Source organism: Homo sapiens, chromosome 4 (genome assembly GCF_000001405.40).
Source record: "Homo sapiens chromosome 4, GRCh38.p14 Primary Assembly".
Classification (NCBI taxonomy): domain Eukaryota; kingdom Metazoa; phylum Chordata; class Mammalia; order Primates; family Hominidae; genus Homo; species Homo sapiens.
The window spans coordinates 140,931,943-140,948,351 of NC_000004.12; the positions used below are offsets into that span (position 1 = coordinate 140,931,943).

At 36.2% G+C, this 16,409-nt stretch overlaps 1 protein-coding gene across 7 annotated transcripts in view; it reads right to left on the reverse strand.

Moving 5' to 3' along the window:
• RNF150 (ring finger protein 150) overlaps positions 1–16,409 on the reverse strand; it is a 353,094-nt gene that overhangs the window by 72,136 nt on the left and 264,549 nt on the right. For all 7 annotated transcript variants that reach the window (XM_047415998.1, XM_011532148.4, XM_017008475.2 and 4 more), the window contains one exon: positions 15,712–15,794. In XM_047415998.1, coding sequence (XP_047271954.1) covers positions 15,712–15,794 — 83 coding nt within the window. The remainder of the gene's footprint in view (positions 1–15,711; positions 15,795–16,409) is intronic.

Consider the following 16,409-nt stretch of genomic DNA (forward strand, 5'->3'; position numbering starts at 1 on the left):
CAATTTAATGACATTTTTTCCCCAGCTGGAGAGAGAAAAGGCTGTTCTGTTTTTCCCATCTCTTTCACTTTTGTAGACACCGTTGGACCCTAACACCCTGCAAGTGAGATTAGGACCCTGTGGTTTTCCTTTGGCACCAGTGCAAGCTGTCTCATTCTCCTTAGTGAAGTGGTTATTAAAAAATGTGACTCACTCAGGTACCTGAGAATCCCATACTCCCAGGCAACATGAACTATTTTAAAAAGATACCTAGTACTTCTATGCATACCCGAAATGTTTCTGCAGAGCCTCTGAATCTTATTTGCAAAACTGTCAATAAAGAGTGAATTTTAAATTAATGAACACTGACATTAATGTCAGTAATTAATGAATGCTGACAGTATCTACCAGTTATTGTATCCCTACTATGTACCAGGCATGTTACATACATAATTAAATCACAAAAGCCCTATGAAGTAGAAATTATTATTTCTGTCTTATGGAAGAGAAGGCTGAAGCTCATTAAAGTAAATTATCTGAAGAGCTAGTCAGCTGCAGAGCTAGGATTCAAATTCCAACTGACAGTCAGTGTTTTTACCCACTCTATACTCCTCACCCCATCCTCAAGCTGTCACAGGTAAGGGGGGTAGTTGGAGGTATTCAAACCTTTATTCTTTCCCAGTGTATTTCTTTGCTCCAGCTTAGCCTCTCTGAGCCTTAGTTTCTTCACTGATAAAATGAGGATAACAGCAGCACCTATCTGAGGCACCCAATACTGTCACCCAGTATGTCAGCTCTCCATCTCTCCAGCACATGGGGAGATGACAAGCTCTCCTGGTGGTGGCTATGGCCATGTGACTAATTCTGGCAGATAAATTATAAAGAGAAATGACAGATTTCACTTCAGGTCATGGCATTTAATTGCTGACCTATCAATTAACAATGTTTGAGATAGTGACTGCTTTGTCAGCCTGACTGCCATGAGTAGATACCCTCTGCTGACACACAGTGAACACAAAGCATGAGTGAGATATCCTTGCTGTGTTAAGCCACTGAGAGTTGGGTTCGTTGCTGTTACTGCATCAAAGCTTCGCCTATCCTGACTAGTAAAATAACTTATGGGGCTGTTGTAAGGGTTAAATGCTTGTTTGTATAGTGCTTCATTAGTAAGTGTTCAGGGGATAATGGTAATATTAACTATTTTAAATGATGTTGGTACAACATGCACAGTGACAGGTCATAAATACAAATAAAACTGCTACTGAATTCAGCGAAGGGAGAAGTTTGTGAGGAAATTAAAAGGCTATGGGATACGGTAAGGCCTTTTGTACAGCCTAAAGCATGGGAAGAACTTTGAAGCATTTACAGTGGAGGAAAGAAATTCAAAAAGAAGGGATTTACATAACTCAACATATAGAAGAAGCAAAAGTTGAGTTTCCCTCATCTGAAAATCCAAACTCTGAAATGCTCTAAAATCTGGAAAATTTTGAGTGCCAAAATGGTGCTCAAAGGAAATGCTCACTGCAGCATTCTGGATTTTGGATTTCCAGATGAGGGGTGGTTACTGGTAAGTATAATGCAAATATTCCAGAATTCGAGATGTGAAACACTTCTGGTCCCAGGCATTTTGGGTTAAAGGATACTCAACCTGTATTATGATATGTATGGGTTGAAATGTAGGCTATGTTAAGTGGATGAACAGAAAATGAAGTTGGAAAATATGATTCTAAATCAACATTCTGAAATAATCTAGGAAAGAGGTATGAATGGTGAAGAAAATAATGGACGGGAGCCATGCTTTTCCCTGTTCCTTGTGATGGTGAACTTCACATCATTAAGTTATTTCCTTCTATACTTTTCCATCTTTCTATGTCTCCTATACAGGAAGTCCTTGTGATGGGGATGATCTAGTCATCACTTGCTATGTGGTGTTGATTAAGTCAAGTAAGTAGACACCAGTCTCATCCTACCATATCCTCAATCCCACTGACCTAGTGCCACACTGTGGGGACAATTCTGCTAATGGGCTTGATCTGAAATGGTTGGGCCAATTATTTAAAAACATCATATTTATTTATTTATTTTTAAAATTTGTTTATTTATTTTGAGACAGAGTCTCGTTCTATTGCCCAGCTGGACAGTGCAGTGGCGTGATCTAGGCTCACTGCCACCTCCGCCTCCCAGGTTCAAGTGTTTCTCCCACATTAGCCTCCCAAGCAGCTGGGACTATAGGCACATACAACCATGCCTGGCTAATTTTTGTATTTTTGTAGAGACAGGGTTTTGCCATGTTGGCCAGGCTGGTCTGGAACTCCTGATCTCAGGTGATCCACCACCGTGGCCTCCCAAAGTGCTGGAATTACAGGTGTGAGCTACTGTGCCCAGCCTAAAAACATCATTTTTTAAAAAAGAAAAGACAAACGGAAAAAAGCTGCAATATAGCACCAGTAGTAATCATATTCTGGCTGTAGTTATAAACATAATAACTTTGTTTTGGCAAGCAAATATGATAGCAGTTTCATGTGATAGAGCAAAAAAGAAAAAAAAAAGAATGCAATAAGGTAAATTGCTGCTCACCGCACAAGCACTGTCCTTCTACGAAAAGTCTGCTTTCTTTTCAGGCTCACAGAAACAAGTTTGGAAAGTAATATCCAGAAAACATACAGAGGAAGTAAAATTCTTAAAACTTGGCTAAATTTGATTTAGTTTCCTTGAGTTGCTTAGACATTTTGCTTAGAGTGAGAGGGGGTTTCTGAAGCAGATTTTTAGCCAAAACCATATCCCCAGAGGTATGAAAGTACAACAGGGATCCCTGAGCAGGAATAAGTGTGGCTATGGTGTCAACTCCACAGCCAATGATACAGTGCTGGCCCAGAAGTCAGAAAACCTGGCTTTACTTTGGGCCCTGGGACCAACTTCTTTGAGTTAAGGTTTTCTTTTAATAAAATACAGGGGCAATCATTGATATCTGTCCTATCTATATTACAGGCTGGTCTGAGCTAAAATTAGACATTATATGCAAAAGTGCTTTGTGAAGAGTAGAGTGCTTTTGAAAGTTAAAGTGTTATAATATATATATATATATAAATATATATATATTATATATTTATAATATATATATATAAATATATATATTATATATATATAATATATATATAATATATATAATAAATATATATATAAAGTGTTATAATATATAAAGAACCATTTATTCCACACAGCTCTGCATTGCGTTAGATTTATAGCATGAAAGAAAAACCAACAACTTAAAAAAACAAAGAAAGGATATCAGATCCTGTTGCTACTAACATCAATTTCTTTTTAAACTACAATGGAAGAAATTTTTACTTTGGGAATGCAAGCTGGGAGGAATTGCAGGACCCTCATTTTATAGTGTGTCTCACTCCTTGGGTTTCTGGCAGAGGGAGGCTCTGTGCTTAGAACTTAACTCTGTTCTAATTATATCGTTTGGCTGGGGCAGCAAAGCTAGTTGGCATTCATCCCGTGTGTCTACTTGATTAATATAACTGGGGATCAGGACATTTGAAGCCAGAATGCCATATTTAACGAGGTTATTACAGTGCAAGACTTCTGTCCTAAGGCGACATTTGCTATGTTGAAAAACAACATCATTTACAGCACTGCCATCTCTTTCATGTTCCCTTCCTTTATTCCCTTAAGTGATATATTTTACATATATAATGTTGTACACATAAAAATCTGAAGTAATCAAAGAAAAACGATAAGAAAACACTTAGCAAACTCCAAACTTAGAAATACTGTGTAATTTTTACTAATGTGTAGAGTGAACTGTTGTTTTTAAAATTCTATTGCATAGCTTCTTTGGTACTTAAGTTTTTTTCCATTACTTTAAATGAAGGTATAATGTACCACAAAATGCATAAACCTTAAGTGAGCTTGATGATTTCTTAAGTGTGTGTATGTTTACGTACATACCACCCAGATGAAGATATACACCATCCTATCACCCCAGAAAGTCCTCCTGTGCCCCTTACCAGTCAATACCCACTCTCTGCCATGTGACCATCATTCTAACATCTGTCACCATATATTAGTTTTCCCTGTTATTGAATTTCAAATGGAATCATAAAGTATGTATTCTTTTTTGTCTAGCTTTTTAAATTCAAAATAATGGTTTTCAGATTCATCTGTGCCTTGGTGTACATCAATAGCTTGTTTTTTTATTGCTCAGTAGTATTCCATTGTATGGGTGTACCCCAATTTGTTTGCAGATTTTCCATTGTTAGACATCTGTACTGTCCTCATTTTTTGGCTATTATGGCTAAATGTGCTATGGCCACTCTTGCATCAGTCTTTCTGTTAATATATGCATTCATTTCTCTCAGGTATATATCCAAGAACAGAATTGCTAGGTCACAAGGTAGGGTGTATTTAACTTTAGTGGAAACTGCCAAACAAATTTCCAAAGCTGTTGTGCTATTTTAAACTCCTACTACACTGCATAACTTTTAATTTGGCCAAGTATATAAAATTCTGTTCTTGGAAAAATGGGTTTAAAAAATAGTTTTTATAAACTATTTGAGTGAGATGCCATACACCAGCATAAATTTTCATATAAATTTGAAAAGAGTAGTTAATTGATCAGTTATCTTATTTCTTGATAGGGAAGGATTAAAGTAAGGAGGAAGAGATAAGAACACAAAATTCGTTAATTTTATAGCATAAATTTTAAATTGTTAATTAAAAAAGCATTATAAAAAATAAAAATACTTAATAAAAAGATTCACCAAAAACACTAAAACAAAATGTTAAAAATAGTATCACATTTTATCAATTCTAGGCCATATCATTCTTCATTCCCATTTTAACCTATCTAAAATTAGGAAACATCTTACAATCAATGACAATTTATATTAAATATGATATGATATAAAAAGAACTTGTGTTAGTCAATAGTAATATATCAAAGAAATCAAACATATGGGAATTTAAATTACCTTTATATTTGGCTATCAGATGAGAAAGATGCTTTAAAAATTTACTACTCCATGGTTCTGAGAGAGTGCTAGCATAAACACTCTCACATACTGCTAATGAGGTGTCAATCATTACCACCTTTCAGGAAAGCAATTGGATAAAATTTTTCAAGATCCTTTAAAATTCCTTTCAATCTAGTAAGTTCACTTTAGGAATGTATCTGAAGGGATAAATACAGAATAAATATATAAACAACTAACCTCATGATTTTATAATGATGAAAAACTGGAAGCAATTTAAATGCTGAACAATGTTGGAGGGTAGTTAAATAAACTCTAAAAACGAACTATTATGCAACTACTAAAAATTTTTAAATAATTTCTTTTTTTTGTTTGTTTGAGACAGAGTCTTGCTCTGTTGTCCAGGCTGGAGTGCAATGGTGCGATCTCAGCTGACTGCAACCTTCACCACCCAGGTTCAAGTGATCATCTTGCCTCAACTTCCCGATTAGCTGGGATTACAGGCACCCGGCACAACGCCCATCTAATTTTTGTATTTTTAGTAGAGACAAGATTTCATCATGTTGGCCAGGCCTGTCTCGAAATCCTGACCTTAAGTGATCTGCCCACCTTGGCCTCCCAAAGTGCTGGGATTTCAGGCGTGAGCCACCGCATCCAGCCAAAAAATTTAAAATAATTTCTAAAGTTTTTAAAAAATGTTTTTTATTGCTGAATGAGAAAGTAGAAGAAAAACAATATTAATTGCTTGACTCTACAGTGTTTAAAAACATACAAATATTTATATATATATTATAAAAATTAATTATGCCAGCATTAATAATGATTATTTCTGGGTGGTCAGATTATTTTTGTTTACTTCTTTATACTTTTCTCTGTTTTCAACATTTTGCACAATTAGCAGTGAAACCTTGAAAGTTATTTTTAAAAAACACATTTAAAAACAGCTATAAATAGATTGACCAATTCATAACATAGGCATAAAACAGTAAGTCAAATCCTATGAAAATCTGCTAATTTCTGTCGCTCTTTTCAAAAAAAAGGAACTTGGAAAAAATCTGTTCCTAATCAAGCCTATGTAACAGGCACCGCAGGGTAAAATCAGGACAGGTCATCTCTGTCTGGCTAGAAAGTGCCCTTTTGTTTTCGACTTCACGAGTTATAGGACTCATAATCGGAATCCTCATCACATTACAGCATTCTGTAAACATTTTTTTTTACTCATAAAGAGCTTGGAATTTTCTGTCTACACATTCAATTCATTTGACTCATCTTAAAATCAGACTGATCCCTGGGTTTAAAAATGTTAAGGGGCTAGTGTCTTTTTTCAGTGATTTCAGTAAAACTTGATGGTAACGCTAAGTTTTCAAATATTAAAATGATGTTCACTTTTTTTTTTACATAATTCTTCCTCATGTTACGCTATTTATTATGATCATGTCATCCCTGGCAGGGAGAGTGAGTGAGAGGCTGCCCTAGCCCCCTAAAGAGGGAATTTCACAAATGAATATCAGAGTCCAACTTTGATTTTGCCTCGGTTGTCATTAAGGATCCAAGATATGAATCCTATATTTGAGTTTAGGGAGAAGCAAGGAGGCTATGAACTACCAGGGGCGTTTCCGTCCAATGAGGATAAGGAAGCTCTGTGGGACCTAACGAACAAACAACCTTCCAAGGCCTGGCAGACTCAAGATGCTGTTAATAAGACATTTTTGGTGTGGGCACTGTGCTGTCACCTACATTAGCTCAGTAAACCTTACTAAATCAATTTTTAGGAGGTAGGCAAGTCACTCTGAGCCTTAGAGTCTGTGCTTGTTTAGAAAGCTTTACCAATTGATTCCCTTACTATTTCTCATGTGCTTTACACTAAATGTCTCCCAGTGCTGCTTCTCTGGCAGGGGAAAAATGCCATCTGTCCTTGGGGACAGGAGTTCATGGAATATAGTACTTAAAGAGTCAATTAATAATGAGGTCCATGTTAAAAATATACATCAGTCACATTAACTGAGACAGAAAAGCAGCTGTCTGTCTGGTTAGACGGACAGGGATGATTTGTGAATGTTGTGTCAATTCTCGACACATGGTACAAAATAACAACTAATTCATTAAAACTAGTAGACCATATTTGGGTTTTGACTTTTCAACAGCCCTCAAAAAAGTCCTTTTCCAAGTCTCCAGGTCTATCCCTTTTAGGTTCTTCTGTCTGACTCAGATACTCAAATGTCATTAGAAATCCCTTTGCAAGTTAGGGTATCTATTGCCACAATTTATACAAACAAACTTCATTTCTCCTTTCACTATTACTGCTCTGTATCAGGAACCATTTATTCTGTTTTTTATTTTTGGTCTCATATGAAACTGTTTAAAAAATTTCCACTTCATCTCTTTCAACACTAAGGCTTTTAGTTATGTTCTGGTCTTTGTAAAAGTATAGCCTTACATTGCAAATTTTTAAAAAAGTAAACAGTATAATATATTCTATGTCCCAAATTACAAAGGGGAGCTCTGGAACTGATACAGAAATTTAACCTTATTCCTAAAAGGAAAGAAGAGAAAGAGGAAGGGTAACACAGTGTTTACCAATAGAATCAGTTATCTATTTAGAATGGAGCTTTGCTTCTGAGACCGGGTTGTGAAAGTGCTTTGGGGCTGGATAACTCTGAAGAAAGGCTTAAGAAGATAAGCCAAGGCTGATCCTCAAGTGGAGTTTGTGTGTGTGTGTGTGTGTGTGTGTGTGTGTGTGTGTGTGTGTGTGTGTGTGTGTTTGAGTGATGACATCCCTTTCAGTGCTTGAAATCTGTTTTTTGTGTTACGGCTTTTGAGTGACAGTTTGCAAGCTGCTATATTTTTTTCTATTTAGAATTCAAATGGAAAGACATGAGCATGTTTTAAATGCAAACAAATACATATGTATCCATCAGCTACCTACCTGAGAAACAGGCAGTCATTTTCAACTACTCCAAACGTTGAGTCATCTGGTTTACCCCTGAATCTCTGTTGAATATGTCTATCTCTCTATGTCACAGTGCCAGCACTCCAATTCAGACTTCTAGCATTTCCTACCTGGACTTTGCAATAGTCTCCTCACTGGTCCCTCTGACTCCAGGCAGATCCCTCTTAACCATGCTGCATGCCACTGACAGTGTGTTGTGTATAAAGCACAAACCAAACCCCTCACAGTGGGTGCTCCAGCACTTGGTTATAATCCAGGCCTCTCAGCCAGACATTTGGGCCCTGAAGGATCTGGGGTGCCTCCTCTCCAGCCCCATCGCCAACACAAGCAAGACACTCTAACAATTCCAGGTCACCACAGTTATCTTTGCTTGGAATGTTCTTCTTAGCTTTGTCTGGAAAGCTCCTTGTATACAACTTTATGGAATATAATTTGGCAATTTAACTTTATAATCTTAGAAACAAGGAATTAATCTAAAATGTGAAATGAAGTCTATACACAGAGCTACTTATCACAGCCTTATTTATAATAGCAGAAAAAGTGTGTGTGTGTGTGTGTGTATAACAATTGAAGTGTCCAAAAATAGTTAGGCAAATAAATTATGGCACATGGGATATTATATATTAATTAAAAATGATGCTGACAAACTTTTGGAAGACATGGAAAACCCATGTTTATTCTAGAAAATGAAGTAGGAGATCAGCAAGACTTGTTTTCTGATCCTTGGTCAAGACCCTTCTGATCAAATCAGAATGTAGCCAAGGAACTGGCCAAAACCAGCTAGGACCAAGATGGCAACAAGGGCAACCTCTAGTTGACGGTTTATAAATGATGCCATGGCAATGATCTGGAAATAACCTTATCTAGTTCTGAGAACTCCCTTCTCCTTTTCCAGAAAGTTCAGGAATAACCTACCCCTTATTTAGCATCTGCTTAAGAATGGGTATAAATATAGCTAGCTGGCAATCCACGAGTGCTACTCTGGGCCATTCTGCCTATGGGATAGCCCTGCTCTGTCTATGGAGCAGCCATTTTGCTGTACACTGTTGCTCTAATAGAACCTGCTTTCTGCCACTGCCAGCTTGCTCTTGAATTCTTTCCTGAGTGAAGCCAAGAACCCTCCTGAGCTAAGCCCCAATTTTGGGGTACACCTGCTTCAAAAAAACTTAAAGTGACTGGAAGATTCAAGTATCCAAAAATACATTGTAAAAGCAAAAGAAGAAAAAAAATAATAAGAATAGAGACATAAAACAGAGTAAGAGATGGGGCTAAAAAACACCTTTTGGCTATAGGTAGGCCACAAATTTGGCTCTTAGATTTCTGTCAACAAACAGAAAAAATCCAGAACAGAGTTGAGTATCTACAATATAAAAACATTCCCCTTGCTTGAGAGAAATACAGTTATTCCCACACATGAATTATCCTGGTGAGTTCCCATGAGGAAGTCAGAGTGCAAAATCCGAATGAGACACAACGGCAAGTTTGCTAAGATTGCTTCTTAGAGTAATCTCCAATAAAAACAATGGCAATTGCACCAGCCAACCCAAATCTCTTGTACAGAGTTAATATGAAATAGTGCATGTTTTTAGTTTTCTTGTGAATTTACCTTGTTTCAGGAGTACATTTTAGAAAAACAGAAGGATCTAATTACATTCCAATTAATCTTCTTGAAGAATAACTTTTTAGTCACCCTTCTGTTATACTTAATGAATTTGAAGTTGTACTTGTTGTAAAAGTACCTAAAGCCAGCTAATCTAGCTTGACAATTAAAAATAGACTTATCAGAATGAATACTTAAAGAGCACGAGTAGAAGCAGGGAGACTAGTGAAAAGGCTACTGCAGAAAGCCAGGGAAGAGGCAATGGTGGGAATGATGTTAGCGATAGTCACAGAAACCAGAATAGTACCATTGATAATGACAAGAATAATATCATCTGAGTATTATAACAATAGCAATAGCAATAATAATATAAATATATAAAATTATCACTGTCAGGGTTTTGAGTGTGTAAATACCAATTACTAGTTAGCCAACTTTAATTTCATTCTTGAATCAAAATCTAAGTTCCTTCATTGACATTTTCTTCTGTTAATAAAAGTAAAGCTCAAATTAAAAATAAAACGCGCACAAAATTCCAGACTAGGGGAATGAAGAATTGCTGTTTAGTGAATTCAGAGTTTCATGTTGGAGGTTGAGACGTTCTAGAGATGGACAGTGGCGATGGTTTCACAGCAAGGCAAATGTACTTAATGTCACTGAATTGTATATTTAAATATGATTAGAAAGGTAAATTTTATGTTATATACATTTTACCAAAAAAAACCAAAAAACAAAAAACAAACATCACACATGCACACAACCCCCACACAGCTCCAGGATTATCTGATCTAACAGGTAACCTTGCTCAGGCAAAACTAACTTCTGCTGTAAAGACTGAGGCCTGCAAAACCTGGGCCTGCAGAGCCAGTGATGGAGCCCGCCTCAGAGGCTGCTCAGAGAAGGCAGTGCTGCTCTCTAATGCTGGAATCTGCTTCAATGTGCCGATGTTAAACAGCAGCAGTGCAACGCTTTTCCACAAGAACTATTTTAGGATAGGTGTTGTTAGGTATTCACTTGATTTAACCACCTCCCCCTGTTCCCAAATAAGACCTTATTTAAGTCCAGGTGGCACTGACAACACTGCTCCTTGGTGTATCCTCTGGGAAACACTATTTACAAAATGGAACTATATGCGGTATGAGTCGAACATCCTTTATCCAAAATGCTTGGGGATGCTTGGGGCCAGAAGTGTTTTCGAATTTCTTTCAGATTCTGCATTATCCCTAATCCAAATAGCCAAAATTCAAAACGCTCCAGTGAGCATTTCCCTTGGCCATCCTGGTGCTCAAAGTTTCAGATATGGAGCATTTTGGATTTGGATTTTTGGACTACGTATACTAAACTAGTAATTTGTTTATGAGCAAGTTAAAAGTTGGGAAGCATCTACCAAAGATGATAACATGAGTTTTAGAGAATTTTGTTTGTAATCCAACTCTGACAATAATAACCCAGCAGGACATGCTGCCCCTACGCGCCACATAATCAAACTAAGCATTTAAAGATGAGAAGCTGCTTTTCTCTGTCTTCTGTAGTGGGGCAGGATGGTGAAATGCAAACAACTCATCAAAGGATATTAAAAAATAAGCTAAAGGGGGCCAGGACACCTCCCTGTTTTATCTCAGTAGAAAATTCTCATTGGGCCAGAAAAAGACCCTGACCTTTGAAGAGTGAGTTTTATATAAGCACCAACATCCCAGGGTCTTTGGTCAGTTTATGCACCTTAGAGCTTGATCAACTTCTGTCAATAGTATCGAAGGCCAAAGGAAAATAAAAATGAGGCACAAATAATCTAAAAAAGACCCCCAATAATCTAATACCATTTCTAGCAAATTCTTACAGTGTATGTGAAAAGAACAGGATAGTAAATGATATTGACAATAGTATCTTAAAGTTGCAAAATAAGCATAAGAAATAAAAAGAAGACAATATATAACAATGATAGCAGTAGTTACCTGCATGAAGGAGTTAGGCAGATATTTAAATATTTACCCATTTTACAAATTTTCTAGAATGAGGATGCAATGGACAATACAAACCATTGTTAGAAGACATGAAAACATTACTTTTTTTCTGTGGAATCTTTCTTAACTTCCTTGTGTCTGGTATTAATTCCTCCAAAATTTTTATACATTGTGTTATTATTGTTACACATACCATTCTCTATCATGAATACTTATTTAAATTCCTTTCTCTCCCACTAGACTATTTCCTTTAGAGCATGCATCATGCCATTTGTCTTCTCATCGCTGGGACTTTCCACTATTCCTGGCACACAGTTGCTACAAAATGTTTCTTGTTCCAAATGAAGCATTTAGGTACTAAAAGTTTATCAAGAGGGTGTGCTTATTACTAGACAGGGTTTACATTTTTCCTTAGTTGTGGAGGAGAGTTTGCAAAAATCAAAGAAAAAAAACAGTAGTAGAAACTAGTATCTTCCCTAATTGGTGATAATGCTATAGGGATAAATTAGAGATAGGAGGAATTTTATAGGAATGCAGGGAAACGGTCTATCTATTGCTTTGGTTTAAAACAATGGCAAATAAGGACTTTTGGCCTGCCTAAGGAATTCATATTCTTTCTGAGACACTGTGTGTTTGAAATTGAGAAGCTAAACAGGCTGAAATGAATAATCCCTGAAGAACAGTAGGGACACCATGTGATAAAAGCCAGGAAGAATCAGAGAGGCTAACTTACTCTCCGTGCAAGAGAAGATAATAAAATGAAACATCTTTTGTGGCTAAAAATCATAATCACAAATACTAACCTTAGATACAAAAACCACCCCTAAAATATAGTGTAATGCATATTTTGGCATACGTATGAGGTAGCAAAACCAACGTGTCTTGAGTAATGTCTCAGTGGTGTATTAGGATCAAATCCAAACCACAGAAGTTAGACCTGTCTGAGGCTGAGCAGCTTTGTGGGCTAAGGGGTGTCTGTCCCTCATGGTAGATGTACACATCCAGGCTCACTCTGGGGGGCCTCACCTTCATGTGCTAGAGAGGGACTGGATGAAGAAAGGATGAAGGGGAAGACATGGTAGGTGTGTATGTGCATGACTTAACTTTAGTAATCACTACAACAAATAAAGAGAGGAAGGCATTTATTAATAATTCATCATAATTTGTTCATGGGTCTCAGAAAGAGACAAGCGATAAAATGATTTTGAAAAAGTTGTGACACAAGAGTATAATTTGGAAAGACATTCTAAATGAAAACAATAGTGAAGAGATGCACCAAGAATGTCAGCAGTTATGAGGCCACAGAAAAAGTGTGAGTGAAGGGAGATGATAAACTGGAACATTTTTTGAAACAGTTTTTATGCCAAGAAGATGCAAAGAACTCTGTGGATGAGTCAGCCTGGAAATAAAGGGAAAGAGAGTCTATGAAGTTCATAGGAGCAAAGGCTTAATAATACCCCAGAGAAAATTATGTAGCAAAAAGCAAACGCCAGTGCATTTGTTTGATAATATCCATTAGTGCAAACTGTCTGGCAGAAAACAGCAACAGGCATAAAAATACCTTGATTTTAAAACCTACATGGAAAAAATGTATGAGCTATTCAGAACAGATATGTGTGACTAGAATAAGATCAAACAGTAATTAATTATAGCTGTATTTGAAAATGCTCAAATGCATTTTGTTATTTAAAGCAGGGTTCATAGTATGGAAATAATAGTAGATGGACAGTAAGGAATATGAAACAAAATCAAGGAATGAGCTAAGAATCAAATAATCGTTTAAACAAGGAGGAGCCTGAAGCCAAACTAAACTAGCCAAGAGCAAGGGCTAATGTACATTAAAATCCCTAAGGTTTTATTTTCTGTGGTAAACATTAAAATGCTATTTTTTTGTTAATATTTCCAAAAAATTACAATATAAAAGGAGATCTGGAATAACACATCATGAAAGTCTAAACACTGTTAAAACAACGCAATCTGTCATAAAAATTGAACTCAGCCAAAAATGTTCCCAAATAAGGACATGGAAAATTAAACTGTGGTACATCTATGACTTGGATATTATGCAGTCTCTAGCAATTATATATATATACACATATACACACACTACATATATATACATATAAATACATATATACACTACATATATATATACATATATACATATATATACTACATATATACATATATACATATATATACTACATATATATACTACATATATATATGTAGTAACATGAAATTTATTCATGACAGAGCTTTAAGTAAATAAACTATTTTATACTGTATCAATTGTAGAGCTAAAGTAATGCTATGTATATAATTTTTAAAACAGATTTTCTTAATTTACATTTGTAAATGTCTTTGGATTTTTCAGAAAAATGTAGATATTTAACTTTAATTGGCTCTGAATTTTTTTTATTAGTAGTAATCGCATAGGGCTCTAAATAATCTTCAAGAAAAAAATAAAGGAAAGCACTTTGCTTATATCTAAGAGGCTTTATAAAACCTTTAATAAAATACTGCAGAGATAAAAGATGTTGCTCCAAGAGGCATTCTGTAGTTCACATACTGCATTTGTCTGCCTGTGTTTCTGGAAATCACTGAGTAAACACTAAGTGTATGTAATAACTAGAAAGAACTTACATAGCGAATCCTCATATGAAGGAAATTACCAAATCTTCAGTTATCTCTATTTATGATTTCGTCTTAGATATAGGTGTCTACAAACTAACGGAAAGTGAATCACAATTGACGGCTTTGGCTGGGGCCACCAGGATGTACTTCCCTAATGCCTATTTTCCTAATGATCAATTTGCCTATGGACATTTCAACCAAGGTCTGTTTCCCTTGGGAGTTTATGCATCAATTTTAGTATCCTGTCACTTCTTTTTTGGTCACCTCTTTGTCATTTTGGGATTATTAAGCCATTCCTCTAAAGTAATTTTTGTTTCTTTTGTAGTTCTAATAAACAGTCCTTAAGTTTACATTGTTTCATGAATATGTGAATTGTCTTACATCTTTGTGGTATATGTTTTCCTACTTTACTTTTAAAGTCTCTAAGAATTTTTTTTTTCTTTGAGACAAGGTCTCGCTGTCGCCCAGTGCGGTGGTGTGATCACTGGAGTGTAGTGGCATGATCATTGCTCAGTATAACCTTGAACTCCTGGGCTCAAGGGATCCTCCCAGCTCATCCTCCTGAGTAGCCAGGATTACAGGCGAGTGCCACCATGTACTGAGCACCACCATGTTCAGCTAATTTTTAATTTTTTTTTGTAGAGACAGAGTCTTGCTATATTGCCCAGGCTGTTCTTGAAATGTTGGTCTCAAGCGATCCTCCTGTCTTGGACTCCCAAAGCATTAGGATTACAGGTGTGAGCCACCATGCCTGGCTGAAGTATCTAAGAATATTGAAAGCCAATCTTTCTAAATGAAGAATCTCCCAACAAGGCATAATTCTATTTTTATTTTTGGGACATTTACACAGATGCAAAAAACACTAAAAATGGTTGTCAGTGAAGGAGGATGGATTTTACATGACTTTAAAAAGATTTGGTTTCATTAAAGTATTTAAATTTATTTAATTTTAACAATTTAAAAAGAATTCAGACAACTTCTCAGTGAATTTCAATTAGGGAGAGGGAATAGGGTTATATAAGAATCACCTGGGGAGCTTCCCCAACTATACATGCCTGGCATCCTCCCCTAGATGCAAGAATTTTAAGGGAATTTGAGTGTCACATTCTCTTTCTGTTAGTTTAAAAAAAAAAAAATGAAAGGGCATGGGATCTGTCCTTGGCTTCCTACTTACTTCTGACCATATTCTAATTACCACACTGTTCATGTTCATTCACAAAATATTTTTCAGAGTTTATTATTTTAATTAAAATAGTACTGGTAAAAGCCAGAATTGATTCTGAACATCATAGATCTGTTGTTCAAGAAAACTTGTACTTGGCGGCCACATCATCAAATTCTGTCTCATGAAGTCCTAGTTCATAGCAGTATACTTCCTTTGATGCAAAGGGGATAGGGGATCAGAAAAATATTTCATGATACAGTGTTTTCAAGGACAAAGGTTATACAAAAACAAGAATGTTAGGGTTGTCTGCAATAGAAACATGGAAACACTGAGGCAGACTGACCTGGCAGCACTATGCCCAGCAGGTCGGGGCCAGGGAGGCCACGCAGGCACGCTCCACACACACAACCCAATCAAAAGCAGGCAGCCTAGTGACTCACCGGCAGGGCAGGATCCGGACAACGTCATTGGGCTTGTACCCTTCAATACAAACTGCACAGTTGTCAAAATCAGACTCTGTTTCCTGCAACAGAGGAAGCACAGATGAGCCTATTTTCTTAGCTTCATCTCTTGTGTAAATATCCAAGCCAAAACCCAAGGAGAGCTTGCCTGGAGCAAAGCTTTCCGCTGTGCTGGTGCCAGTTTTTAAATCAAATGTACCATCAATTGGACTAGTTTCCATTCCTTCCAACCTCTACTTCTTGTTTCTAGGTTCCACTGCAAGTGCTTTTGTAAGGAAAACCATTTTCTAAAGTACAATTACTAACAATGCTATTAATTATAATTAGAGGCAACATATCAAAATTTTCAGGATGAGAAATAATATTTGTGGTGAATCATCTGAATAATATTTAATCTATCCATTCTTCTGGAATCTAGTGTATAAAATAAATATTAACACACAATGGTAGTTCCAATTTTTTTCAAGTATATATATATCTCTTTTAATGCCTCATAACATAGTGCTTATGTAATAGTCCTTGTACTTTTATTATTCTCTGATTGAAGGAAAATAACATACTGACCAAAATGTCCTTTAAATTTAGTAATACCTTTAAATAAATTTTATCTTATAAGCCCAATGGCGTTTTTATATACTTGAAAAATAATAGCACATAATTTGTGAAATAAATCATTC